The sequence below is a fragment of the Homo sapiens genome, chromosome 9 (assembly GCF_000001405.40).
Source record: "Homo sapiens chromosome 9, GRCh38.p14 Primary Assembly".
NCBI classification, from domain to species: domain Eukaryota; kingdom Metazoa; phylum Chordata; class Mammalia; order Primates; family Hominidae; genus Homo; species Homo sapiens.
Window position 1 is genome coordinate 128,853,522 of NC_000009.12, and position 27,936 is coordinate 128,881,457.

Below are 27,936 nucleotides of genomic sequence, written 5' to 3' on the forward strand. Positions count from 1 at the left end.
AGACAGCCCTAATCAAATATAGTATGGATGATCAGTTAAATCAGCTGTTTAATTCGTTACAACAAACTGTAAGAAAAAGAAATTTCCCATTTTATATTACTCATATTCGAACACATACTAATTTACCAGGGCCTTTAACTAAGGCAAATGAACAAGCTGACTTGCTAGTATCATCTGCATTCATAAAAGCATAAAAACTTCGTGCCTTGACTCATGTAAATGCATCAGGACTAAAAAATAAATTTGATATCATATGAAAACAGGCAAAAAATGTTGTACAACATTGTACTCAGTGTCAAGTCCTACATGTGCCCACTCAGGAGGCAGGAGTTAATCCCAGAGGTTTATGTCCCAATGCATTATGGCAAATGGATGTCACACATGTACCTTCATTTGGAAAATTGTCATTTGTCCATGTGACAGTTGATACTTATTCACATTTCATATGGGCAACCTGCCAGACAGGAGAAAATACTTCCCATGTTAAAAGACATTTATTATCTTGTTTTGCTGTCATGGGAGTTCCATAAAAAATTAAAACAGATAATGGGCCAGGATACTGTAGTAAAGCATTTCAAAAATTCTTAAATCAGTGGAAAATTACACACACAACAGAAATCCCTTATAATTCCCAAGGACAGGCCATAATTGAAAGAAGTAATAGAACACTCAAAGCTCAATTGGTTAAACAAAAAAAGGAAAAGGACAGTAAGGAATATAACACTCCCCAGATGCAACTTAATCTAGCACTCTATACTTTAAATTTTTTTAACATTTATAGAAATCAGACCGCTACTTCTGCAGAACAACATTTTACTGGTAAAAAGAACAGCCCACATGAGGAAAAACTGATTTGGTAAAAAGACAACAAAAATAAAACATAAAAAATAGAGAAGGTGATAACGTGGGGGAGAGGTTTTGCTCGTGTTTCACCAGGAGAAAATCAGCTTCCAGTTTGGGTACCTACAACTTACAGAAAAAGTTGCCATCCACCAAAAAAGCGAAGCCGCCGACCTGGGCCCAGCTAAAGAAGCTGACACAGTTAGCTGAAAAAAGCCTAAAGTACACAAGGGTAACACAAACTCCAGAGAATATGCTGCTTGCAGCTTTAATGATTGTATCAATGGTGGTAAGTCTCACTATGTCTGCAGGAGCAGCTGCAGCTAATTATACTTACTGGGCCTATGTGCCTTTCCCGCCCTTAATTCAGGCAGTCACTTGGATGGATAATATTCTATTGAAGTATGTGTTAATATTAGTGCATGGGTACCAGGACCCACAGATGACCGCGGCCCTGCCCAACCTGAAGAAGAAGGAATGATGATAAACATTTCCACTGGGTATCATTATCCTCCTATTTGCCTGGGGAAAGCACCAGGATGCTTAATGCCTACAACCCAAAATTGGTTGGTAGAAGTATCTACTGTCAGTGCCACCAATAAATTTACTTATCATATGGTAAGTGGAATGTCACTTGGGTCACAAATGAATAATTTACAGGACTCTTCTTATCAAAGATCATTAAAATTTAGGCCTAAGGGGACCTTGCCTCAAGGAAATTCCCAAAGAATCAAAAGACCCAGAAGTCTTAGTTTGGGAAAAATATGTGGCTGATACTGTGGTGGTATTACAAAACAATAAATTTGGAACTATTATAGACTGGGCCCCTCAAAACCAATTATATTATGGTTGTATGGGCCAGACTCACTCATGTTCACAGACCCCATCTGTCTGGCCCACTAATCCGGCCTATGATAGTGATTTAACTGAAAGGCTAGACCAGGTTTATAGAAGGCTAGAATCACCCTATCCATGGAAATGGGGTGAAAAGGGGATTTCATCACCTCAACCAAAGTTAGTTAGTCCTGTTACTGCTCCTGAACATCCAGCATTATGAAAGCTTACTGTGGCCTCGCACCACATTAGAATTTGGTCTGGAAATCAAGTTATCGGAACAAGAAATCATAAGCCACATTATACTATTAACCTAAATTCCAATCCGACAATTCCTTTGCAAAGTTGTGTAAAACCCTCTTATATGCTAGTTGTAGGAAACATAGTTATTAAACCAGATTCCCAAACTATAACCTGTGAAAATTGTAGATTGTTTACTTGCATTGATTCAACTTTTGATTGGCAGCACCATATTCTGCCAGTGAGGGCAAGAGAGGGTGTGTGGATCCCTGTGTCCATGGACCGACCGTGGGAGGCTTCCCCATCCATCCATATTTTAACAGAAGTATTAAAAGGAGTTCTAACTAGATCCAAAAGATTCATTTTTTACTTTAATTGCAGTGATTATGGGTCTTATTGCAGTCACAGCTACTGCTGCGGCTGCTGGAATTGCTTTACACTCCTCTGTTCAAACTACAAAATATATAAATAATTGGCAAAAGAACTCCTCAAAATTGTGGAATTCTCAGACTCAAATAGACCAAAAATTGGCAAACCAAATTAATGATCGTAGACAAACTGTCATTTGAATGAGAGATAGGCTCATGAGCTTAGAATATCTTTTTCAGTTACAGTGTGACTGGAATATGTCAGATTTTTGTATTACACCTCGAGCCTATAATGAATCTGAACATCACTGGGACATGGTTAGACGCCATCTACAAGGAAGAGAAGATAACCTTACTTTAGATATTTTAAAATTAAAATAACAAATTTTTGAGGCATCAAAAGCCCAGTTCAATCTGGTGCCAGAAACTGAGGCAATGGTGAAAGCTGCTGATGGCCTCACAAATCTTAACCCCATCACTTGGGTTAAAACCACTGGAAGTTCCACTATTGCAAATTTTGTATTAATCCTTGTATGTCTGTTCTCTGTTGCTGGTCTACAGGTGTATCCAGCAGCTCCAGAGAGACAGCAACCAGCGAAAACAGGCCATAATGACTATGGCGGTTTTGTCAAAAAGAAAAGGGGGATATGTACGGCAAAGAAAGAGAGATCAGACTGTTACTGTGTCTATGTAGAAAGGGAAGACATAAGAAATTCCATTTTGACCTGTACCTTGAACAATTGCTTTGCTGAGATGTTGTTAATTTGTAACTTTGCCCCAGCCACTTTGCCCCAACTTTGAGCTCACAAAAACATGTGTTGTCTGGAATCAAGGTTTAAGGGATCTAGGGCTGTGCAGGATATGCCTTGTTAACAAAATGTTTACAAGCAGTATGCTTGGTAAAAGTCATCGCCATTCTCTAATCTCAATAAACCAGGGGCACAACGCACTGCGGAAAGCCGCACGGACCTCTGCCTTGGAAAGCCACGTATTGTCCAAGGTTTCTCCCCATGTGATAATCTGAAATATGGCCTTGTGGGATGAGAAAGACCTGACTGTCCCCCAGCCCAACACCCGTAAAGGGTCTGTGCTGAGGTAGATTAGTAAAAGAGGAAAGCCTCTTGAAGTTGAAATAGAGGAAGGCCACTGTCTCCTGCCTGCCCCTGGGAACTGAATGTCTCGGTATAAAACCTGATTATACATTTGTTCAATTCTGAGATAGGAGAAAAACCGCCCTATGGCGGGAGGCGAGACATGTTGGCAGCAATGCTGCCTTGTTATTCTTTACTCCACTGAGATGTTTGGGCGGGGAGAAACATAAATCCGGCCTACGTGCACATGCAGGCATAGTACCTCCCCTTGAACTTAATTATGACATAGATTCTTTTGCTCACATGTTTTTTTGCTGACCTTCTCCTTATTATCACCCTGCTCTCCTACTGCATTCCTCTTGCTGAGATAATAAAAATAATAATCAATAAAAAGTGAGGAAACTCAGAAACCGATGCTGGTGCAGGTCCTTGATATGCTGCTTGCCAGTCTCCTGGGCCCACTGTTGTCTCTATACTTCATCTCTGTGTCTTACTTCTTTTCTCAGTCTCTCGTCCCACCTGATGAGATACCCACAGGTGTGGAGGGACAGGCCACCGCTTCACTCAGCTTCCCAAAGTGCTGAAATTACATGCGTGAGCCATGTGCCCTGCCCCATACACAAAAATTAATTCAAAGTGAATCACATAACTAAATGTATGGGCTGGGGACGGTGTCTCACGCCTGTAATCCCAGCACTTTGGGAGGCCAGGGCAGGCGGATCATAAGGTCAGGAGATCAAGACCATCCTGGCTAACACAGTGAAACCCCGTCTCTACTAAAAATACAAAAAATTAGCTGGGCGTGGTGGTGGGCACCTGCAGTCCCAGCTGCTCTGGAGGCTGAGGCAGGAGAATGGCGTGAACCCGGGAGGCGGAGCTTGCAGTGAGCAGAGATCACGCCACTGCACTCCAGCCTGGGCGACACAGCGAGACTCCGTCTCAAAACAAACAAACAAACAAAAAACAAAACTAAATGTATGAACTAAAACAAGAAAACTAGAAGAAAACATAGGAATAAATCTCTGTGACCTTGGGGTTCTAGACATAACATCCAAAGCATACACAACAAAAGAAAAAATAAACTGGACCTCATCAAAATTAAGAACTTTTGTGCTTCAAGGATACCCATTAAGAAAATGAAAAGACAGCCCATGGAATGGAAGGAAATATCTGCAAATCATAAATCTGAATGTTTCCAAAAAAGATACACAAACAGCCAAGGCTGGGCACGGTGGCTCACGTCTGTAATCCCAGCACTTTGGGAGGCTGAGGTGGGTGGGTCACCTGAGGTCAGGAGTTTGAGACCAGCCTGGCCAACACGACAAAACCCCATCTCTACCAAAAATACAAAAATTAGCTGGGCGAAGTCACATGCACCTGTAGTCCCAGCTACTTAGGAGGCTGAGGTACGAGAATCGCTTGAGCTCAGGAGGCAGAGGTTGCAATGAGCCAAAATTGCTCCACTGCACTCCAGCCTGGGCAACAGAGTGAGACCATGTATAAAAAAAAAAAAAAAAAAAAGCCCGGGCATGGTGGCTCATACCTGTAATCACAGCACTTTGGGAGGCCAAGGCGGGCAGATCACCTAAGGTCAGGAGTCTGAGACCAGCCTGACCAATATGATGAAACCCCATCTCTACTAAAACTACAAAAATTAGCCAGGCGTGATGGCATGCACCTGTAATCCCAGCTACTTGGAAGGCTGAGACTGGAGAATCACTTGAATCCGAGAGTCGGAGGTTGCAGTGAGCCACTGCACCATTGCACTCCAGCCTGGGCAACAAAAGTGAAATTCCATCTCAAAAAACAAAAAAAGAAAAAGAATGTTTTAGGCCAGGCCCGGTGGCTCACGCTTATAATTCCAGCACTTCGGGAGGCTGAGGTGGGCAGATCACTTGAGGTCAGGAGTTTGAGACCAGACTGGCCAACACGGTGAAATCCTGTCTGTACTAACAACACAAAAATTAGCTGGACATGGTGGCTCATACCTGTAATCCCAGCTACTCGGGAGGCTGAGGCAAGGGAATTGCTTGGAGGCTAAAGTGAGCTGAGATTGTGCGTTGCACTCCAGCCTGGGTGACAGAACAAGACTCCATCTCAAAAAAAAAAAAAAAGCAAAGAAAAGAAAAGAAAGAAAAAGAGTATTTTGGAGGAATGCTCTGGCATACTTAAAAATAGTTACCCTTGGCCAGGCACGGTGACTCACGCCTGTAATCCCAGCATTTTGGGAGGCCAAGGCAGGCGGATCACGAGGTCAGGAGATCGAGACCATCCTGGCTAACACGGCGAAACCCTGTCTCTACTAAAAATACAGAAATTAGCCAGGTGTGGTGGTGGGCACCTGTAGTCCCAGCTACTCGGGAGGCTGAGGCAGGAGAATGTCGTGAACCCAGGAGGCTGAACCTGCAGTGAGCTGAGATCGCGCCACTGCACTCCAGCCTGGGCAACAGAGGGAGACTCCGTCTCAACAACAAAAAAAAAAGTTACTCTCAGCTGGGTGCAGTGGCTCCTGCCTGTAATCCCAGCACTTTGGGAGGCTGAGGTGGGTGGATCACCTGAGGTCAGGAGTTTGAGACCAGCCTGGTCAACATGGTGAAACCCCATCTCTACTAAAAATACAAAAATTAGCTGGGTGTGGTGGCGCATGCCTGTAATCTCCCAGCTACTCAGGAGGCTGAGACAGGAGAATTGCTTGAACCCAGGAGGTGGAGGTTGCAGTGAGCCGAGATCGTGCTGGTGAGCCACCTTGCCCAGCCATTTTTTTTTTTTTTTGAGACAGAATCTCGCTCTGTTGCCCAGGCTGGAGCGCAGTGGCGCGATCTCGGCTCACTGCAAGCTCTGCCTCCCAGGTTCACACCATTCTCCTGCCTCAGCCTCCTAAGTAGCTGGGACTACAGGTGCCCGCCATCACACCCAGCTAATTTTTTGTATTTTTAGTAGAGACAGGGTTTCACCGTGTTAGCCAGGATGATCTCGATCTCCTGACCTCGTGACCCACCCGCCTCGGCCTCCCAAAGTGCATGAGAGGGGATTTATAGGGAAATTGACTCACGCAATTAATGGAGGCTGAGAAGTCCCCTGAGAGACTATTTGCAAGAGGTGCCAGTAGCGTGGCTCAGTCCAAGTCTGCAAGCCTCAGAACCAGGGACGCCACTGGGATAATTCTCAGTCCAAGGCTGAAGAGCCTAGAGTTTTGATATCCAAAGGGCAGGAGAAGGAGAATCTTCCAGCTCCAGGAGAGACAGAGACAGAAAGAGGAAAATTTTCTCCTCTTTTGTTTTTATTCAAGCCGTGAACCAATTGCATACTGCCACCCACATTGAGAGCGGATCTTCCCCACTCAGTCCACTGACTCCCACGCCAATCTCCTCTGGAAACACCCTCACAGACACACCCAGAAGTCATGTTTCACCATTCTCTAGGTATTCCTTACTCCAGTCCAGCTGCCACCTAACATTAACCAGCAGCACACATCCACGCTGCCAGACATTCGTCAGTTGCAGTTCAGGTTTTCCCACCCAGGTGCTGATTCCAGGGAAGGTTTCTGCTCTGGCAAATCATGATTCTCTGTATCTACCTTTCTGCCTCTCCAGTTTGGGGGCAGCAGGTTACCCTGTGACCTAATTTTCTGATGAACTGAAAAAGAGCCGCTGGTTTTTCAGTTTGTTCAGCCTTTTTTTTTTTTTTTTGAAACGGAGTCTTGCTTTGTCGCCCAGGGTGGAGTGCAGTTGCGCAATCTCGGCTCACTGCAAGCTCCGCCTCCTGGGTTCAAGCGATTCTCCTGCCTCAGCCTAAGTAACTGGGATTACAGTCGCATTCCACCATGCCTGGCTAATTTTTGTATTTTTAGTAGAGATGGGGTTTCACTATGTTGGTCAGACTGGTCTCGAACTCCTGACCTTAGGTGATCTGCCCACCTCGGCCTCCCAAAGTGCTGGGATTACAGTTGTGAGCCACTGCCTCCGGCCCACACGCATTTATTAAGTTTACCATCTTATATGGGCATGGTTTGTGGTTCCCCAAAACAAGCACAATAGTAATATCAAAGATCACTGATCACAGATCACCGTGTCAGACATAATAATAATGATAAAGTTTGAACTATTGTGGGAATTACACACAGACCCTAAGGGAACACATTCTGTTGGAACAATGGGAACAATAGACTTGCTTGGTGCAAGGTTCTCACAAAGCTTCAATTTGCAAAGACCGTGATATCTGCCAAACGCAATACAATGAAGTGTGGCTAGTTTGTTACAACAGCCTTAGGAATCAAATCCAAGGTGATGGGGTTGAGCTGTGTCCCCACCCAAATCTCATCTTGAATTGCAGTTCTCATAATTCCCACGTGTCCTGGGAGGGACCCAGTGGGAGGTAATTGAATCATGGGGGCAGTTACCCCCATGCTGCTGTGCTGGCGATAATGAGTGAGTTCTCATGAGAGCTGATGGTTTTATAAAGAGCTTTTCCCCCTTTGCTCAGCAGTTCTCTCTCCTGCCGCCATGTGAAGAACGTGTTTGCTTCCCCTTCTGCCATGATTTTAAGTTTCCTGAGGCCTCCCCAGCCATGAGGAACTGTGAGTCAATTAAATCTCTTTCCTTTATAAATGACCCAGTCTTGCGCAGTTCTTTATAGCAGTGGGAGAATGGGCTAACACACAAGGCGATGCCAGAGCTCACCCTCTCGTTCCTTAGATTTGAGAGCGGTTCCCAGGAGAGGCCTGAAGTATGTACTCTGACCCCTGAAACTAAGTACCTGTGCCTTGAGCAACAAAGGGTAGTGTTACTGCCATCCCAGGAGGGACATTCCTTGGTGTCACCTCAAGGGAGGGAGTCTGGTGCTTTAGCTCAGGTAACTCAGCTAAACGGATGAGCGGCCCAAGGGCAGGCCCAAGCCCAGGGCTGGTCATGGGAGGCACTCTGTGCCCTCTGCCTGTTCTATGAAGACCAACTATCTGCTGGCCCAGGACTGAGGGGTGTCTTGGGATGGGAACCATCCTGGGCCAAAGGGTCTCTTTAGGTTAGCCATTTCCTGTCCTAGACCCAACATCTTGCTACTTCTTCTAGGACTACAGGAGGAGCTGGATTTCACCCTACCGGGACCCACTCTACTGCTTTCTGACCACTGAGTTAAAAACCCACAGTTGCCTGGTAGGTCAATTCTCTCTCTGACACTCTCCCCCACATCGGACTCTGTGTCCATCAAATCAGTCTTTTTTTCCTGAAGTGACAACATTCTAAGTCATGTCTTCATCATCTCAAGTGAATTGAGCTAATTTTTGTATTTTTTGTAGAGATGTGGTCTCACTGTGTTGCCCAGGCTTGTCTCAAACTCCTGGGCTCAAGGCATCCTCCTGCCGCAGCGTCCCAGTGCTGGGATTACAAATGTGAGCCACTGTACTTGGCCAAGAATAATATTAATAATACAACCAGCTTTAATTTACTAGGACTCACTCTGTCCCAATACTTTTGTCACTGGATCCTTTCAACAACTCTGTAAAGCAAGTGCTATCCTCACCCTCATTAACAGGTGAGGAAATTCCTAACATACTAAAATAACAACACTTACATTGAGCTCCTGCAGGCCTTATAGCAGATTGTACACCTGGTGCCAGCACAGGGCAGAAACTCAGGAGAAACAGATCCCAGCTGTGGCCCTCTTCTCTGCCCTGCCCCAGCCTTGGCCCCTTGCCTTCTCTGGGCACTGCCAGTTCTCAGGAAAGGCGGTGCCTTCTGTGTGTCCAGATCACTGGCTCCATGGGGGTCAAGAAGCTGGGTGGCACCTGTGCTGCACACGGATATGCTTAAACAATCTTGCAGCCTTGGGGGTGGGGCTGGAAACCAGGATCGGCTTCCATTGCAGGGGACTGGCAGTGCATCGGGCCTATGTGTGGCCGGGTAAGACTGGGCATAGGAGTCAATGTTGGTTTGTTTGTTTTTTGACACAGAGTCTCGCCCTATCTTTTTATCACCCAGGATGGAGTGCAATGGCATGATCTCGGCTCCCTGCAACCTCCGCCTCCCAGGTTCAAGTGATTCTCATGCCTCAGCCTCCCGAGTGGCTGGGATTACAGACGCGCGCTACCATGCCCGGCTAATTTTTTTGTGTGTCTTTAGTAGAGATGGGGTTTCACCATGTTGGCCAGGATGGTCTTGAACTCCTGACCTCATGATCCGCCCGCCTCGGCCTCCCAAAGTGCTGAGATTACAGGCATGAGCCACCATGCCCGGCCAGAAGTGAATGTTATGTTGCACCCTCCACAGGGTAGGTCTGTTCTATTACCACACCCAGGATCAGGCCCCAAGTAGACACACAAGGAGGAGGGCAGTGCTGAGAGACGGGGGAAGGATTAGAACACAGGCTTTGATGACCTTGGCAGTGTGACATGAGGCAAGCCATTTTACCTCTCTGAACATCAATTTTCTATGCATGAAATAAATAATAATAATTCATGGAGGCTGGGCATGGTGGCTCACACCTGTAATCCCAGCATTTTGGGAGGCTGAGGTGGGCAGATCGCTTGAGCTCAGAAGTTCAAGACTAGCCTGGGCAACATAACAACACCCTTTCTCTACAAAAAAAAAAACCAAAACAACAAAAGGATCCAAATACAAGAGCTTGCACCTGAGCATGTGCACACATCTCTGTGTCTGTGTCTGTGAGCTTATGGGTGTGGTGAAGGTAGGTTCCAGGAACTTAGGAGGGAGGGAGGGAGGGAGAAGCCATAAGGGGTTCTCAGCCAAGAGCAGAAGGGTACAGGGGGCACGTAGGCTGCCTTAACCCAGCAACTTGGCCAGGTTGGTTGGGAGCAACTTGGGGGCTTGTGGGTGTGTTATTCCCGAGTCGGCCAGCAGGGGGCGCAAGGAGCCAGGCCCCTCGTGGCTTTGAGGTTGCTGGCCCAGGTCACAGAGCAACCTGCTGGCCCCAGGAGGGGACTACGCCTCACTTCACAGAGGAGGCCCAAAGCAGGGAGGGTGCTGCTCCAGGTTCCCGCATAAGGCAGGACTCCTGACCTCCCAGGCACACCTCCCTCCAATGCCCTGCGCCTCACCCCTTTTCTAGGAAGCAGGCCTTCCCTAGTCAGCTCCTCAACAGCCCTGGCAGTCACCTTTTATTTACCACACGCTTTCCTGTGCTAGGTGCCCCGTGGAGCCCTACACGTCCCACCACTTAAAAATGTTTTTCAGGCCGGGCGCGGTGGCTCACACCTGTAATCCCAGCACTTTGGGAGGCCGAGGCAGGTGGATCACAATGTCAGGAGATCGAGACTGTCCTGGCTAACACAGTGAAACCCCGTCTCTACTAAAAATACGAAAAAAAAATTAGCCAGGCATGGTGGCGGGTGCCTATAGTCCCAGCTGCTTGGAAGGCTGAGGCAGGAGAATGTTGTGAACCCGGGAGGCGAAGATTGTAGTGAGCCGAGATTGCGCCATTGCACTCCAGCCTGGGCGACAGAGCGAGACTCTGTCTCAAAAAAAAAAAAAAAAAAAAAGTTTTTCATTTAAAAAATTTTGGTAAAATACACATATCATAAACTTTACCATCTTAACTATGTACAGGTATACAGTTTTGGGAACTGTTTTCATCTTGTAAAACTGACAACTCTGTACCCATTAAACAATTACATCCCTTTACCCTCTGGCCCATAGCCCAGCCCATTTGCTGTCTCTGCGATTTTGACTACTTGAAATCAGGTCCCATCACTTTTATTATTTATTTACTTATTTTTTGGGGGACAAAGTCGTGCTCTGTCGCCCAGGCTGAAGTGCAGCAGCGCGATCTCAGCTCTCTGCAACCTCCGCCTCCCATGTTCAAGTGATTCTTGTGCCTCAGCCTCCCGAGTAGCTGGGACTACAGTTGTGCACCACCATGTCCAGCTAATCTTTGTATTTTTAGTAGAGACAGGGTTTCACCATGTTGACCAGGCTGGTCTAGAACTCCTGACCTCAAGTGATCCGCCTGCCTAGGCCTCCCAAAGTGCTGGGATTAGAGGTGTGAGTCACTGCTCCTGGCTTCCCATCACTTTTAATCCTATAAGAAAGATTCCTTCAAGAGGCTAAGTGGTCAGGTACAGTGGCTTATGCCTGCAAGAGAGGCCAAGGCAGGAGGATCCCTTGAGCCCAGGAGTTCGAGACCAGCCTGGGCAACGTAGTGAGACTCAATCTCTACAAAAAATAATAAATTATCTGGGAGTGGTGGTGCACGTCTGTAGTCCCAGCTACTCGGGAGGCTGAGGTGGGAGGATCACTTGAGCCTGGAGGTTGGGGCTGAAGTGAGCCATAATTGCACTACTGCACTGCAGCCTGAGTGACAAAGCAAGACCATGTCCCTCCCCACATCCCTCCCACACCAAAAAAAAAAAAAAAGGCTAAGTCACACACCCAAGGCCACAGCTAACAAGTAGCAGAGCCTACATATATATATATATATATATATATATATATATATATATATATATATATATATTTTTTTTTTTTTTTTTTTTGAGACAGAGTTTCGCTCTTGTTGCCCAGGCTGGAGTGCAATGGTGCGATCTTGGCTCACTGCAACCTCTGCCTCCCGGGTTCAAGCGATTCTCGTGCCTCAGCCTCCCAAGTAGCTGGGATTACAGGCATGCACCACCACACCAGGCTAATTTTGTATTTTTAGTAGAGGTGGGGTTTCACTACGTTGTCCAGGCTGGTCTCAAACTCCTGACGTCAGGTGATCCACCCACCTCGGCTTCCCAAAGTGCTGTGATTACAGGCGTGAGCCACCACACCCAGCACAGAGCCAATATTTGAACTCAGGACTCTGACTCCTACTTTCCAAAAGCCAAAGCAGCACAGATGCATGGATGCTCAATGGGAAATGAGAGAATTTGGTCCAGTGGCTCACATTTTATTGATGGGGATACTGATAACCAGGGATGGGGAACTGACCCACCCAGATTTCCCAGGACCAGGTTAGCGAAGTCCCAGTCCTGACATTTTTCTCATCCTAATAGGCTGGCTCTTCCAATGGGCGTTATGCACCTGGCACAGAGCAGCTGCTCAATAAACCTGCAGAATGAGAATGAATGTCTATCGCTTGCACCAGACTGTAAGCTTTGTTAGAACAAAGATTCTCTTCTGTTCATCTTTTTATTCTCAACATCTTGCACAGAGCCTGCCATATGGTAAGTGTACATCTCCTCAGTGAATTCCTATTATGTGCTATTCATTCCCTAAGCTAGCCACCATGTATACAAGGGTGATAGGATACCTTCCTTTCCTCCAAGGAGCGCACAATCTAATCAAGGAGACAAACAAGTAACTGGGCCATTTTAATATAATATGAGCCTTAATATGCAAATATTTGTATAAATCGACAACAAAAGACCAGCATCTCAATAAGAAAAAGTGTGAAAAAGATATAAATGGGAAATTCACAAAAGCAAATAGTCGCTGGGTGTGGTGGCTCACGCCTGTAATCCCAGCACTTTGGGAGGCTGAGGCAGGCGGATCACCTGAGGTCAGGAGTTTGAGACCAGCCTGGCCAACATGGTGAAACCCTGTCTCTACTAAAATACAAAAATTAGCCGGGTGTGGTGGCAGGCACCTGTAATCCCAGCTACTCGGGAAGCTGAGGTGAGATAATCACTTGAACCTGGGAAGTGGAGGTTGCAGTGAGCTGAGATCGTGCCATTGCACTCCAGCCTGGGCAACAGAGCGAGACTCTGTCTCAAAAAGAAAAGAAAAGAAAAGAAAATAGTCGCCGGGCGCAGTGGCTCATGCCTGTAATCCCAGCACTTTAGGAGGCTAAGGCGGGCAGATCACTTGAGGCCAGGTGTTCAAAACCAGCCTGGCCAACATGGTGAAACCCTGTCTCTACTAAAAATATAAAAAATATTAGCCGTGATGTGCGCCTGTAATCCCAGCTGCTTGGGAGGCTGAGGCAGGAGAATCGCTTGAGCCCAGGAGGCGGAGGTTGTGGTGAACTGAGATCGTGCCACTGCACTCCAGTCTGGGTGACAGAGCGAGACTCTGTCTCAAAAAAAAAAAAAAGTCAATAACCTTGAAAGGATGCTGAAAATTAGTCATAATTAGTGATACGTAAATGAAAGCGAAGTACTATTTTTTGCCTCTCAGATGGGCCAAGACAAACTTGAGACCCACCAAACTGATCCTACAATGTACTAAAAGGTGAGAATTTGTGATTTGAAAAGCAAGCACTAGGTTAAGAGTGTTCACTGGTGTAAGTTTTGGAGGGCAATTTAATAATAACACATACCACTCTTTGACTCAACACTTCCTCTCCTAAAAGTTTTTTGTTTGTTTGTTTTGAGACAGGGTCTTGCTCTGTCACTCAGTCTGGAGTGCAGTGGCACAATTATGGCTCATTGCAGCTTACACCTCTGGGGCTCAAGCCATCCTCCCACCTCAGCTTCCCAAGTAGCTGGGACCACATGTGCACGCCACCATGCTGGGCTAACTTTTTATTTTTAGTAGAGACAAGGTCTGACTACATTGCCCAGGCTGGTCTTGTACTGCTGGGCTCAAGCAGTTCTCCTACCTTGACCTCTCAAAGTGCTGGGATTACAGGTGTGAGCCAGTGCACCCAGCCCTAAAAGCTGATCTTACAGGAATATTCACACGTATATACAAAAATATACACTTGGATGATTAACGCAGCACTCAGCATGAGAGAAAAAAACTGGAGGCAATCTGATATCCATCAACCTGGGGCTAGTTCAGTATCGCTGTATCACAATATCACTGTATCACTGCGTGGTTTAACCATAGAATGAACCATTGTGCAACCACTAAAAGGAATAAGATTGCTTTTAGCAGTCTGACGTGGAAAGATATTCAGGTTATGTGAAAAATGCAGGTTGATTTCAAAACTTATTGCAAAGGTTTTTTTGTTTGTTTGTTTGAGACGGAGTCTCGCTCTGTCGCCCAGGCTGGAGTGCAGTGGCGCGATCTTGGCTCACTGCAAGCTCTGCCTCCCGGGTTCACGCCATTCTCCTGCCTCAGCCTCCTGAGTAGCTGGGACTACAGGTGCCCACCACCACGCCCAGCTAATTTTTTTGTATTTTTAGTAGAGACGGGGTTTCACCATGTTAGCCAGGATGGTCTCGATCTCCTGACCTCGTGAGCCACCCGCCTTGGCCTCCCAAAGTACTGGGATTACAGGCGTGAGCCACTGCGCTTGGCCCTGCAAAGCTTATAATTAGAATAGTGTGGTATTACCATAAAGACAGACATAGACCCATGGAATAAAATTGAGAGCCCAGTAATAAACCCAAACATCTATGGCCCACTAATTTTTTTTTTTTTGAGTCAGAGTCTCACTCTGTTGCCCAGGCTGCAGTGCAATGGCACGATCTTGATTCACTGCAGCCTCTGCCGATTCTTGTGCCTCAGCCTCCTGAGTAGCTGGAACTATAGGTGATCCACCCACCTCGGCCTCCCAAAGTGCTGTGATTACAGGCGTGAGCCATCATGCCCAGCCTGGCCCACTGATTTTTTTTTCCTTTTTTTCTTTGGTGAGACAGGGTCTCATTCTGTAGCCCAGGCTGGAGAACAGTGGTGTGTGCAATCACGGTTCACTGTAGCCTCGACATCCTGAGCTCAGGTGATTCTCTCACCTCAGTCTCCCAAGTAGCTGGACATTTTTTTCTTTTTTTCCTTTTTTTTGAGACAGGGTCTCGCTCTGTCACCCAGGATGGAGTGCAGTGGTGCGATCACGGCTCACTACAGCCTTGTTCTCATAGAGTCAAGCAATCTTCCTGCCTCAATTTCCTGAGTAGCTGGGACTACAGGCACATGCCACCATGCCTGGCTAATTTTTTTTTTTTTTTTTTTTTGAGATGGAGTCTTGCTCTGTTGCCAGGCTAGAGTGCTGTGGCACGATCTTGGCTCACTACAACCTCTGCCTCTGGGATTCAAGCGATTCTCCTGCCTCAGCCTCCTGAGTAGCTGGGACTATAGGCGCACACCACCATGCCCAGCTAAGTTTTGTATTTTTAGTAGAGACGGGGTTTCACCATGTTGGCCAGGATGGTCTCGATCTCCTGACCTCATGATCTGCCCACCTTGGCCTCCCAAAGTGTTAGGATTACAGGTGTGAGCCACTGTGCCTGGCCAATTTTTTAATTTTTTGTAGAGACGGGGGTCTCACTATGTTGCCCAGGCTGGTCTCAAATTTCTGGACTCACGCAATACAAAGGCCTTGGCCTCCCAAAGTGCTGGGATTACAGGTGGGAGCCACTGCGCCTGGCCTTATTGATTTTTGACAAGGGCACCAAGCCTGTTTTTTTTTGAGATGGAGTCTCGCTCTGTTGCCTAGGCTGGAGTGCAATGGCACAATCTCGGCTCACTGCAAGCTCTGCCTCCCGGGTTCACACCATTCTCCTGCCTCAGCCTCCTGCATAGCTGGGACTACAGGCGCGAGCCACCACGCCCGGCTAATTTTTTGTATTTTTAGTAGAGACGGGGTTTCACCGTGTTAGCCAGGGTGGTCTTGATCTCCTGACCTCATGATCTGCCCGCCTCGGCCTCCCAAAGTGCTGGGATTACTGGCGTGAGCCACCGTACCCGGCACCAAGCCCATTTAATAGAGGAAAGAATAGTCTCTTCAACAAAGGGTGCTGGGACAACTGGATATTTACATATAAAAGAATGAAGCAGGAGTTTCACCTCGTTCCATCTACAAAAATTAACTCAAAATAAACCAACAACTTCGAAAATTTTTATTGCAGAGATGGGGTCTCACCACGTTGCCCAGGCTGGGCTTTAACTCCTGGCCTCTAGCAATCCTCCCGTTTCGGCCTTCCAAAGTGCTTGGATTACAGGTGTGAGCCATTGTGCCCAGCCTGATCACATTCTTGATAATGTACTTTTTTTTTTTTTTTGAGACAGAGTCTCACTCTGTTGCCCAGGCTAGAGTGCAGAGGCGTGATCTTAGCTCACTGCAACCTCTGCCTCCTGGGTTCAAGCGATTCTCCTGCCTCAGCCTCCCGAGTAGCTGGGACTACAGGTGTTCGCCACTACGCCCAGCTAATTTTTGTATTTTTAGTGGAGACAGGGTTTCGCCATGTTGGCCAGGCTGGTCTTGAAATCCTGACCTCAGGTGATCCCCCCGCCTCAGCCTCCCAAAGTGCTGCAATTACCCGGGCCCGGCAGATAATGTTCTTTGGTACACAAAACTTTTTAATTTTTATGAAGTCCAAATATAGAAGTACCTTACAACCTAGCAATTTCACTCCTAGGTATATACCCAAAAGAACTGAAAACATATGTCCACACAGAAACATGTACACAAATGTTTATATCAACAGTATTCATCATAGCCAACAGGTGAAAAAAACCCAAATTGTCCATCAATGGATGAATGGATAAATTGTAACATATCTGTACCATGGAATATTATTCAGCCACAAAATGGAATGAAATATGTGCTGACACATGCTGTAACTTAGATGAACCTCAAAAATATATTAAGTGAGGCCAGGGCGACATGGCTGATGACTATAATCTCTGCACTTTGGAAGGCTGACGTGGGAGGATCATTGTTTGACACCAGCCTGGGAAACACGGCAAAACCTTGTTTCTACAAAAAATACAAAAATCAGCCAGGCATGGTGGTGTGTGCCTGTAGTCCCAGATAATAAGATGGCTGAGGTGGGAGGATCGCTTGAGCCTGGGAAGTGGAGATTGCAGTGAGCTGAGGTCATGACACTGCACTCCAGTCTGGACAACAGAGCAAGACCCTGTCACAAACAAACAAACAAAACACACTAAGTGAAAGAAGCCGGACAAAAAAGGTCACATAGCTATGATTCCTTTTCTGTGAAATATTCAGAATAACAAGTCTATAGAGACAGAAAGCAGATGAGTGGTAACCAGAGGACAGGGAGGAGGTAATGGGGAGTGACTATTTGATGGGTACGGAGTGTTTTCCTAAGGGAACGATAAAGTTTTGAAACTACAGTGACATAATGTTTGTACAACATTGTGAATGCACTAAATGCCACTGAATTGTATACCTTAAAATAGTTACTTGTATGTTAGGTGAATTTCACCTCAATTACAAAAAAAAAAAAAAAAGTATGGTAATTTTTTAAAAGGGTTGAAGAACAATATAACCCATTTACATTTTTTAAATTGTAGAGACAGGCTGGCCGCGGTGACTCACACCTGTAATCTCAGCACTTCAGGAGGCAAAGGCGGGTAGATTGCTTGAGCTCAGGAGTTCGAGATCAGCCTGGGCAACATGGTGAAATCCCATCTCTACAAAAAATGCAAAAAATTAGCTGGCCACGGTGGTACGTGTCTGTAGTCCCAGCTACTCGGGAAGCTGAAGTGGGAGGATTGCTTGAGCCCAGAAGGTTGAGGCTGCAGTGAGCCAAGATTGTGCCACTGTACTCCAGCTTGGGAGACAGAGTGAGACCTTGTCTTAAAACAAAACAAAACAAAACAAACAAAAACAAACAAAAAGGGCAGGTTGAAGAACAATATAACTCTATTTGCATTTTTTTTAATTGTAGAGAAAGCTGGATGTGGTGGCTCACACCTGGAAAGGTGGCTCACACCTGTAATATCAGCACTTTGAGAGGCCGAGGCAGGAGGACTGGAGCTCAGGATTTCCAGACCAGCCTGGGCAACATAACAAGACCTTGTCTCTACAAATAATTTTTTAAAAATTAGCTGGGTGTGGTGGTGCATGCCTGTGGTCCCAGCTACTCAGGAGGCTCAGCTGGGAGTATTGCTTGAGCCCAGGCAGTCGAGGCAGCAGTGAGCCATAATCACAGCACTGCATTCCAGCCTGGGTGACAGAGTGAGATCCTGTCTCAAAAAATAAACAAAATCAATTGTGGAGATACATATGTGAGGATGCATACATATATATACATATACACATACACATACATATTCAGGTAGTCTTTACTTTCCACAGTAGTGTGGCATTATAAAAATGACCATGTTGGCTGGGCGTGGTGGCTCATGCCTGTAATCCCAGCACTTTGGGAGGCTGAGGCGGGTGGATCATGAGGTCAAGAGATCAAGACCATCCTGGCCAACATGGTGAAAGCCTGTCTCTACTAAAAAAAATACAAAAATTAGCTGGGCATAGTGGCACACGCCTGTAGTCCCAGCTACTCCGGAGGCTGGGGCAGGAGAATCACTTGAACTGGGAGGCGGAGGTTGCAGTGAGCTGAGATCGTGCCACTGCACGGCAGCCTGGGCAACAAGAGCGAAACTCTGTCTCAAAAAAAAAAAAAAAAAAAAGACCATGTTGAATTGGCTGGGCATGGTGGCTCACACCTGTAATCCCAGCACTTTGGGAGGCTGAGGTGGGTGGATCACGAGGTCAGGAGATTGAGACCATCCTGGCTAACACGGTGAAACCCTGTCTCTACTAAAAATACAAAAAATTAGCCAGGCGTGGTGGCGTGCACCTGTAGTCCCAGCTACTCGGGAGGCTGAGGCAGGAGAATGGCATGAACCTGGGAGGTGGAGACTGCAGTGAGCCAAGATTGTGCCACTGCACTCCAGCCTGGGTGACAGAGCGAGACTCCGACTCAAAAAAAACAAAACAAAGCAAAACAGAAAAAGACCATGTTGAGGCCAGGCGCAGTGGCTCATGCCTGTAATCCCAGCACTTTGGGAGGCCGAGGTGGGCGGATCACCTGAGGTCAGGAGTTCGAGACCAGCCTGGCTAACATGGTGAAAGCCCGTCTCTAATAAAATACAAAAAGTAGCTAGGAATGGTGGCACTCACCTGTAATCCCGGCTACTCGGGAGGCTGAGACAGGAGACCAGCTTGAACTCGGGAGGCGGAGGTTGCAGTGAGCCAAGATCGCACCGTTTGCACTCTAGCCTGGGTGACAGAGCGAGACTCCGTCTCAAAAGAAAAAAAAAGACCATGTTGGCCAGACGTGGTGGCTCAGGCCTGTAATCCTAGAACTTTGGGAGGCCGAGGCAGGCAGATCACTTGAGGTCAGGAGTTTGAAACCAGCCTGGTCAACATGATGAAACCCCGTCCCTACTGAAAATACAAAAAAAATTAGCCGGGCATGGTGGCATGTGCCTGTAATCGCAGCTACTTCGGAGGCTGAGGCAGGAGAATTGCTTGAACCCGGGAGGCAAAGATTCTAGTGAGCCAGGATCGCACTACTGCACTCCAGCCTGGGTGACAGAGTGAGACTCCATTTAAAAAAAAAAAAAAAAAAAAGACCATGTAAACTTAAATTGTGCAAAGAGAACTTAATAATCGAGAAAATTATTATTGGATAATAATAATTAATAAGACAATTGTTCTGTGACCTTTTAAAACTCTCTTACCATCTGTTAAAAATGTAGCCCAGGTGTGGTGGCTCATGCCTGTAGTCCCAGGACTTTGGGAGGCCAAGGCAAGAGGATGACTGGAGCCCGGGAATTGGAGACTAGCCTGGGCAACAAAGTGAGACTCTGTCATTTAAAAATAAAAAAGTATAGAAAATGAAAAAAAAAAAAAACTAATAAGAACTTAGTACACTGTAATTTAATATTAGCAACACTGAAAATTAAGACGTTTTCTTTCGTTATAAAAGTTTATCAAGGAAAAAATTTTATTGCAAATAGCTTGGGCCAGGCGCGATGGCTCACTCCTGTAATCCCAGCACTTTGGGAGGCCGGTAGGCAGGCAGATCATTTGAGGTCAGGAGTTTGAGACCAGGCTGGCCAACATGGTGAAATCCCGTCTCTACTAAAATTACAAAAAAAATTAGCTGGGTGTAGTGGCAGGTGCCTGTAATCCCATCCCAGCTACTTGGGAGGCTGAGGCAGGAGAATCGCTTGAACCCGAGAGATAGAGGTTGCAGTGAGCGGCACTGCACTCCACAGAGCGAGACTCCATCTCAAAAAGAAAAAAAAAATTAAATACAAATACAAAAAATTAGCCGGGCATGGTGATGCACACCTGTAATCCCAGCTACACGGAAGGCTGAGGCAGGAGAATCGCTTCAACCTGGGAGGCAGAGGTTGCAGTGAGCAGAGATTGCACCACTGCACTCCAGCCCGGGTGACAGAGCAAATCTCCGTCTCAAAAAAAAAAAAAAAAAGAATATTCTGAGGCCGGGCGTGGTGGTTCACACCTGTAACCCCAGCACTTTGGGAAGCCGAGGCGGGTGGATCACCTGAGGTCAGAAGTTCAAGACCAGCCTGGTCAACATGGTGAAACCCCGTCTCTATTAAATACACAAAAATTAGCCAGGCGTGGTGGCGGGCGCCTGTGATCCCAGCTACTCAGGAGGCTGAGACGGGAGAATCGCTTGAACCCAGGAGGCAGAGGTTGCAGTGAGCCGAGATCACGCCACTGCGCTCCAGCCTGGGCAACAAAAATGAAACTTCATTCCAAAAAAAAAAAAAGAATATTCTGAACTGAACAGTGCTGCAGTCTTCCAGTGGTTTAATTTAGGATACAGAATGAGCATTTCTTCTATGTTTGTTGCCAAGGCTGGAGTGCAGTGGTGTGATCTCGGCTCACTGCAGCCTCAACCTACCGGGCTCAGGAAATCCTCCCACCTCATTCTCCTGAGTTGCTGAGACAATAAGCACGAACCACCATGCTCAGCTATTTTTTTTTTTTTGTAAAGATGGGGGTTTTACTATGTTGCTTAGGCTGATGTTGAACTCCTGGCATCAAGCAATCATCCTGCCTTAGCCTCCCAAAGTGCTGGGATTACAGGTGTAAGCCACTGCACCTGACATCTTCTATGTCTTGATGAATACGAGTCATCCTTAGTCATCCTTTGTTTTCAATGTTGTGAAATATCTCTGGGAGTTCCTGTTCTGTACATTTTGTGGTGAGATAATCCTGCCTTTTTTTTTTTTTTTTTTTTGAGACGGAGTCTCGCTCTGTCACTCAGGCTGGAGTGCAGTGGCGTGATCTCGGCTCACTCCAATCTCTGCCTCCCAGGTTCAAACGATTCTCCTGCCTCAGCCTCCTGAGTAGCTGGGATTACAGGCACGCACCACCATGCCCGACTTATTTTTGTATTTTTAGTAGGGATGGGGTTTCACCATGTTGGCCAGGCTGGTCTCGAACTCCTGACCTCAAGTGATCTGCCCACCTCGGCCTCCCAAAGTGCTGGGATTACAGGCGTGAGCCACTGCGCTCAGCCCAGGGAGTTCCTTTAATGTGAAGTTTTGCTGGTATTATTTCCTCTGGGTCATTATCTTTTTCTTTAGAACCACTTTCCTCATTTATGTTGATAAGTTTGCCTTCAAGAAGTTTCTCTGGATGCAGATCTCAGGTTTCCCAAACTGTGAACAGCTGCAGAGTTGCCATCCCCACAGCTAGCTATTTCTTCCATTATTCCATTTATGTTCAATTTGTTTTTTTTTGTTTTTTTTTTTTTTTTGGTTTTTGTTTTTGAGATGGAGTCCTGCTGTGTCGCCCAGGCCGGAGTGCAGCTGTGTGACCTTGGCTCACTGGCGTGGTGGCTCACGCCTGTAATCCCAGCACTTTGGGAGGCCGAGGCAGACAGATCACTTGAGGTCAGGAGTTCGAGACCAGCCTGGCCAACATGGTGAAACCGCGTCTCTACAAAAATACAAAAATTAGCCGGGTGTGGTGGTGGGCACCTGTAGTCCCAGCTACTCGGGAGGCTGAGGCAGGAGAATCACTTGAACCTGAGAGGCAGAGGTTGAAGTGAGCCAAGATTGAGCCACTGCACTCCAGCCTGACAGCTGTCCAGGTGACAGAGCAAGACTCCGCTTCAAAAAAAAAAAAAAATGTGTGGGATAACTGCTGCAATGGAGGCAGCTCAGGTGATCTGGCAGCACCGAGGAGGCCCAGCACCACTAGGCATGGGGACCATAGCTGTGCCGAGGACCCTTCTGGGGTAGCTCTCAGGCATCTAAGATCTGAGGCCTCCCTGCTGCCAGGCCAGGGGCCGAGGGCCAGTGGCCTGTGCCCCCCTCCAACACACACCTCTATCAGCCTGGGCAGCTACTGGCCATTTGCTTGACCCGAAGGCAGTGGATGACCCCTGGGCCCGTGGAATGCATCACTGATGCATTCCAGGGGCTGATGTCAATAACCCAGGGGCTGATGTCAGCTATGCCACTGTCCCCCAACCCCCATTGGACCAGCTCTGCCCAGAAGCCTGTGGTGACACTGGACAAAGTCCAAAGCCTCCTCAGCCTGGCGTTTGGAGCCGGCTGGAATCCAGGCTTGGCAGCCTCCACCTTCCCTCCCTTTACTCTTTTTTTATTTTAGAGATAGGGTCTCGCTTTGTCACCTAGGAGCCTTGAACTCCTGAGCTCAAGTGATCCTCCTGCCTCAGCCGCCTGAGTATCTGGGACTATAAGTGCATGCCCCAACCCCCAGCTCAAATTCTTTGCTTTTAAAAAAAAAAAAAAATAGAGACAGGGTCTCCCTATGTTACCCAGGCTGGTCTTGAACTCCTGGGCTCAAGTGATCCTCTGGTCTTGGCCTCCTAAAGTCCTGGGATTACAGCTTGGATTATAGGCATGAGACACCACACCCAGTCATCCTTTGTTCTTTTTTTTTTTTTTTTTTCTGTTTTTGAGACAGAGTCTGGCTCTGTCGCCCAGGCTGGAGTGCAGTGGCGTGATCTCAGCTAACTGGAAGCTCCACCTCCCGGGTTCACGCCACTCTCCTGCCTCAGCCTCCCGAGTAGCTGGGACTACAGGCGCCCGCCACCACGCCCTGCTAATTTTTTTTGTATTTTTAGTAGAGACAGGGTTTCACCATGTTAGCCAGGATGGTCTCAATCTCCTGACCTCGTGATCCGCCTGCCTCGGCCTCCCAAAGTGCTGAGATTACAGGCATGAGCCACGGCACCCGGCCTTTTTTTTTTTTTTTTCTTGAGATAGAGCCTCTCTCTTCACTCTGTCACCCAGGCTGGAGTGCAGTGGCACAATCTTGGCTCACTGCAACCCCCACCTGCCGGGTTCAAGTGATTCTCCTGCCTCAGCCTCCCAAGTAGCCGGGATTACAGGTGCACGCCACCACGCCCAGCTAATTTATTTTTATTTTTATTTTTTTGAGATGGAGTCTCACTCTTTCACCCAGGCTGGAGTGTAATGGCACGATCTCGGCTCACTGCAACCTCTGCCTCCCGGGTTCAAGTGATTCTCCCACCTCAGCCTCCCGAGTAGCTGGGATTACAGGCACCCACCATCATGCTCGGCTAATTTTTGTATTTTTGTAGAGATGGGGTTTCACCATGTTGGCCAGGCTGGTCTTGAACTTCTGGCCTCTGGTGATCTGCCTGCCTTGACCTCCCAAATTGCTGGAATTACAGGTGTGAACCACTGTGCCCAGCCACCCTTTGCTTTTGAATAAATGTTGCCCATCTTCACTCAAGCTGTTTCCCCTGCCTGGCATACCCTCCAATCCAAAATCCCTAGCAGGGCCTAGCCCCACCTGTACCTCCTCTCTGAAGCTTCTGTGTCCACCCAGGCCCTTTGCTGAACTCAGAAAGCACCTACCTGTGCCTGACCCTCTCCCCCAACCCCATGCTAAATTCTCTAATCCTCATCACAGCTGATTAGGATGGTATTATTTACTCTATTTTGCTCAAAAGGAGAACAAGGAAAACTCACTCAGCCTAGAGAGCTCCAGCTGTGATTCAAACCCTGGTTTGCCTATTTCCAAAGTCCAAATTCTGTCCCGTGAAATCTCCTCTCAGGCGGGTGCTAGGGCTGACAGGAGACCACCAGCCCCTTGGGGACAGGAGCCATGTCTTGTCCAACTTCACCTTGCATGGCTGCTTACAAGGGCAGGCGAGGTGACCATGCCTTCCCAGGGTGGCCCCACGTCACATCACTCAAGTCAATTATGACATTCGGTTTTGGAGCTTCTCAATAGGGGCACACTTAGAATTTGAGATGAGTCAGTTCTTCACTGGGGAGAGCTATCTGGAGCCTTGAAGGATGTTTAGCATCCCTGGGCTTAAAATGCCAGGAGACTCCCAGTTACTGAGACAACACACATCGTGGCACCTCTAGAGAAAGGGTACAGAACTGGGGATACCATGCCCAGGAAGACCAGTCTAGTGCATGAATAACCACAGAAGACCAAACCTTGGACTTGGATCAAATAGTCCCAGCTCCACCATAAACTAGCTATGGGACCTTGGTCATGCCAGGCCGCAGCCTCTTGGGGGCTCAGCTTCCTCATCTGTACAATGAAGGTGACAAGAATCCACAGAGAATATACTGTGGGTCCTGGCTCACAGCCACTTGTCAATGACAACAAGCTATTAACTTTTTTTTTTTTTTGAGACAGTCTTGCTCTATCGCCCAGGCTGGAGTGCAGTGGCACAATCTCGGCTCACTGCAACCTCTGCCTCCCAGTTTCAAGCGATTCTTGTACCTCAGCCTCCAGAGTAGCTGGGACCACAGGCACGTGCCACCACACCCAGCTAATTTTTGTATTTTTGATAGAGATGGGGTTTTACCACGTTGCCCAGGTTGGTCTCGAACTCCTGAGCTCAAGCGATAGTCCCACCTCAGCCTTCCAAATTACTGGGATTATAGGCATGAACCACCACACCCAGTCAACAAGCTATTAACATTTAAACCTACCAGGCTTTCCATAAAATTAGTAACCAAGCAAAATGAAAAATCTCTTATTATATAATGAATCCAAATTTTTTTTGATAGAAAAAAAACAGAATTCCCTGAAGACAAATGTTTGGTGACAATTTGTTGAGCCAATGTTTTCCTGGAGAGAACAGCCTGTCTGAGGAGATCTAACAATTGCGTCACTCAGACACAGTCCCCCTGGGCTTAGGAATTGGCAGAGGAGAGAGAAATGACTTCTGGAGTCCAGACGGCAGGTTTACAGGCTGGAGGGGTTGGTGGAAGACCTGAGTGACACAAACAGTAGGTATCTCACCACTTATTCCTCCTGGCACAGGACCCAGATTCAAAAACCACAATCTCACTCCCATACATTAAAGGAACACACAACAGATAGGCAGATAGCCTCGCGGGAGCCTTGGAGGAGGTGGCATCAGCTTTACAGGTGGGGAAACTGAGGCTTAGAGAGGGGAAATGACTTACTCGAAGTCCCAGAAAAGCACCAGGAGGCCCCCAGCTGCAAGCTGGGGAATGAGGGCATAGGATGAGCATTTTAAAAATTATGCCGGGAGGCCGGGCGCGGTGGCTCACGCCTGTAATCCCAGCACTTTGGGAGGCCGAGGTGGGCGGATCACAAGGTCAGGAGATAGAGACCATCCTGGCTAACACGGTGAAACCCCGTCTCTACTAAAAATACAAAAAATTAGCCAGGCGTGGTGGCGGGTGCCTGTAGTCCCAGCTACTTGGGAGGCTGAGGCAGGAGAATGGAGTGAACCCGGGAGGTGGAGCTTGCAGTGAGCCGAGATTGCACCACTGCACTCCAGCCTGGGCGACAGAGTGAGACTCCGTCTCAAAAAAAAAAAAAGGAATTATGCAGGGAACTGGCAGTGCCATCCAGGAGTGGGATGTGGCCCCAGGTCTGTTCTGGCAGGAGTTACAGTGACTGCCTCATGGCTGTGAAGGCTCCTGCATTCCTTTATCGCCCCCACCTGGATTATAAAATCAGGCGCCCTACTCTTTGGAGCTTGGAGAGGTTAGTGTGGCGTTCTGGTGGTTGGCACCTAATGGAGGCATTCTCCGGGAGGAAAGATTCCTGCTGAAGCCAGACTGAATGGGTCTAACTTGTATATTCTCCAATCCTGTTGGTCACCCTCAGTTTCTTAGTGGACACCAAGGCCAAGTCCAGGGTAGGAGCCCATCTCTCCTTGAGTCTCCAGCCTCATCATTTCTCCTTCTGGACATCCTAGTTTCCAGTCACATTGAAAGTCCCTTCCTTGGAGAAGCCCCTTCTGACTCCACCCAGGCTAAGCCACATGTCCCCTCCCAGGTGGTCCCAAGACCTGGGCTTCCGCCCTCAAAGTACTCAGCACGGGGGCGCTCAACTCCAAGGACAGGAACTATGTGCTTGACCTGTTCTCCACCAGATCCTCAGCCTCTGGCAGCTCACCCAGCACAGAGTAGGTCCCCCAGGCATTAGCACAGATGATCCTGGGAAGCTAAGGGAGAGGCCTGGGAGCCCAGCAGCCTTCCTAGGGAGGGAGGGAGACCTGTAGGAACCCCCTTCTGGCAACTTTCTTAATCTCTCTGTGCCTCACTTATCTGTAAAATGAGACTTATCTGCGTGTAAAATACAAAGTATAATACGTGGGAACATTCACTGTCTACAACTGTGGTTCTGGTTGTTCATTTTACAGGCGGGGACATGGAGGCCCACGGAGTACCTGGCAGGCCCACAGTCCACAGGTTGGAAAGAGGTGCCCAAGCCCTGGACTTTAAGCCTGGGCTCTGACCTTCAACGTTTGCTTTTCACACCACACATCATGTCAATAAATAGTTACTGGATGCCTGTTGTGTGCCAGGCCCCAAGACGGGTGTTGCGTGACTGACAACAGAAAAAGCATCTCAGTGGCGAGGGATAAGCTAGATCATGGGCATTAGTGTAAATCTCCCAGGGTTCAAATTCCAGCTTCTCCACTTCCTGGCTATGATTTTTTTTTTTTTTTAGACGGAGTCTTGCTCTGTTGCCCAGGCTGAAGTGCAGTGGCCCAATCTCAGCTCACTGCAAGCTCTGCCTCCCAGGTTCATGCCATTCTCCTGCCTCAGCCTCCCGAGTAGCTGGGACCACAGGCGCTCGCCACCACACCCGGCTAATTTTTTTGTATTTTTAGTAGAGACGGGGTTTCACCGTGTTAGCCAGGATGGTCTCGATCTACTGACCTCGTGATCCGCCCGCCTCAGCCTCCCAAAGTGCTGGGATTACAGGTGTGAACCACCGCGCCCGGCCCTGGCTATGATATTGCTAAGTTTCCTAACCTCTCTAAGGTTCTTTTCTCTTCTATTAAAAGGGAAAAATAAGACCTCCCAACAGAAGTGAAACTAGGCATTGGCTTAACACGTGATGGATGGGAGCCACGACTATCTTCATCATCTTATTTTTAATTATCTATCTGTGCACATGGTAGTAAATTTCTCGCCCTGGCCCAGGTACCCAAGACCCCAATTCTGTCGGAGACAACCGCAATTAACAACTTCTTGTGCATCTTATCAGACAGCTGGCGCGCACACCCGCAGATACGCCCACCCTCAGGCGTCCTTCTACGCAAAGATGGATAGCACCCATCAACGCTGTTTTTTCTTTTTTTAGACGGAGTCTCGCTCTGTCGCCCAGGCTGGAGTGCAGCGGCGCGATCTCGGCTCACTGCAAGCTCCACCTCCCGAGTTCATGCCATTCTCCTGCCTCAGCCTCCAGAGTAGCTGGGACTACAGGCGCCCACCACCACGCCCGGCTGATTTTTTTGTATTTTTAGTAGAGATGAGGTTTCACCAAGTTAGCCAGGATGGTCTCGATCTCCTGACCTCGTGATCCGCCCGCCTCGGCCTCCCAAAGTGCTGGGATTACAGACGTGAGCCACCGCAACCGGCCCAACGCTGTTTTTACTGTTGTTTCCTTTTTTAACCTAAGGTATCTTAGAAGTCACCCTACATTAGTGCATATTAAAC

At 47.7% G+C, this 27,936-nt stretch overlaps 2 protein-coding genes across 21 annotated transcripts in view, besides 2 other annotated features; both read right to left on the reverse strand.

Annotated features, from left to right (window-relative positions):
• KYAT1-SPOUT1 (KYAT1-SPOUT1 readthrough) overlaps positions 1-27,936 on the reverse strand; it is a 62,300-nt gene that overhangs the window by 33,871 nt on the left and 493 nt on the right. The window lies entirely within an intron of this gene.
• Positions 1-27,936, reverse strand: part of KYAT1 (kynurenine aminotransferase 1) — a 49,582-nt gene that overhangs the window by 20,580 nt on the left and 1,066 nt on the right. The window contains exon 1 of one of the 18 annotated variants that reach the window (NR_148225.1): positions 6,426-7,011. The exons of the other annotated variants lie outside the window; for them this stretch is intronic. The gene's annotated coding sequence lies outside the window, so the exon portion shown is untranslated. Of the gene's footprint in view, positions 1-6,425; positions 7,012-27,936 lie in introns of those variants that run through there. 18 annotated transcript variants of the gene reach the window in all.
• Positions 7,949-8,243: a silencer, noted in NCBI's record as "tiled region #9337; K562 Repressive non-DNase unmatched - State 23:Low". NCBI's record gives its function as "represses a minimal TATA promoter and a strong SV40 promoter by Sharpr-MPRA in K562 cells {active_cell/tissue: K562}" and the evidence as "EXISTENCE:reporter gene assay evidence [ECO:0000049][PMID:27701403]".
• Positions 10,069-10,363: an enhancer, noted in NCBI's record as "tiled region #7409; K562 Activating DNase unmatched - State 5:Enh". NCBI's record gives its function as "activates a minimal TATA promoter and a strong SV40 promoter by Sharpr-MPRA in K562 cells {active_cell/tissue: K562}" and the evidence as "EXISTENCE:reporter gene assay evidence [ECO:0000049][PMID:27701403]".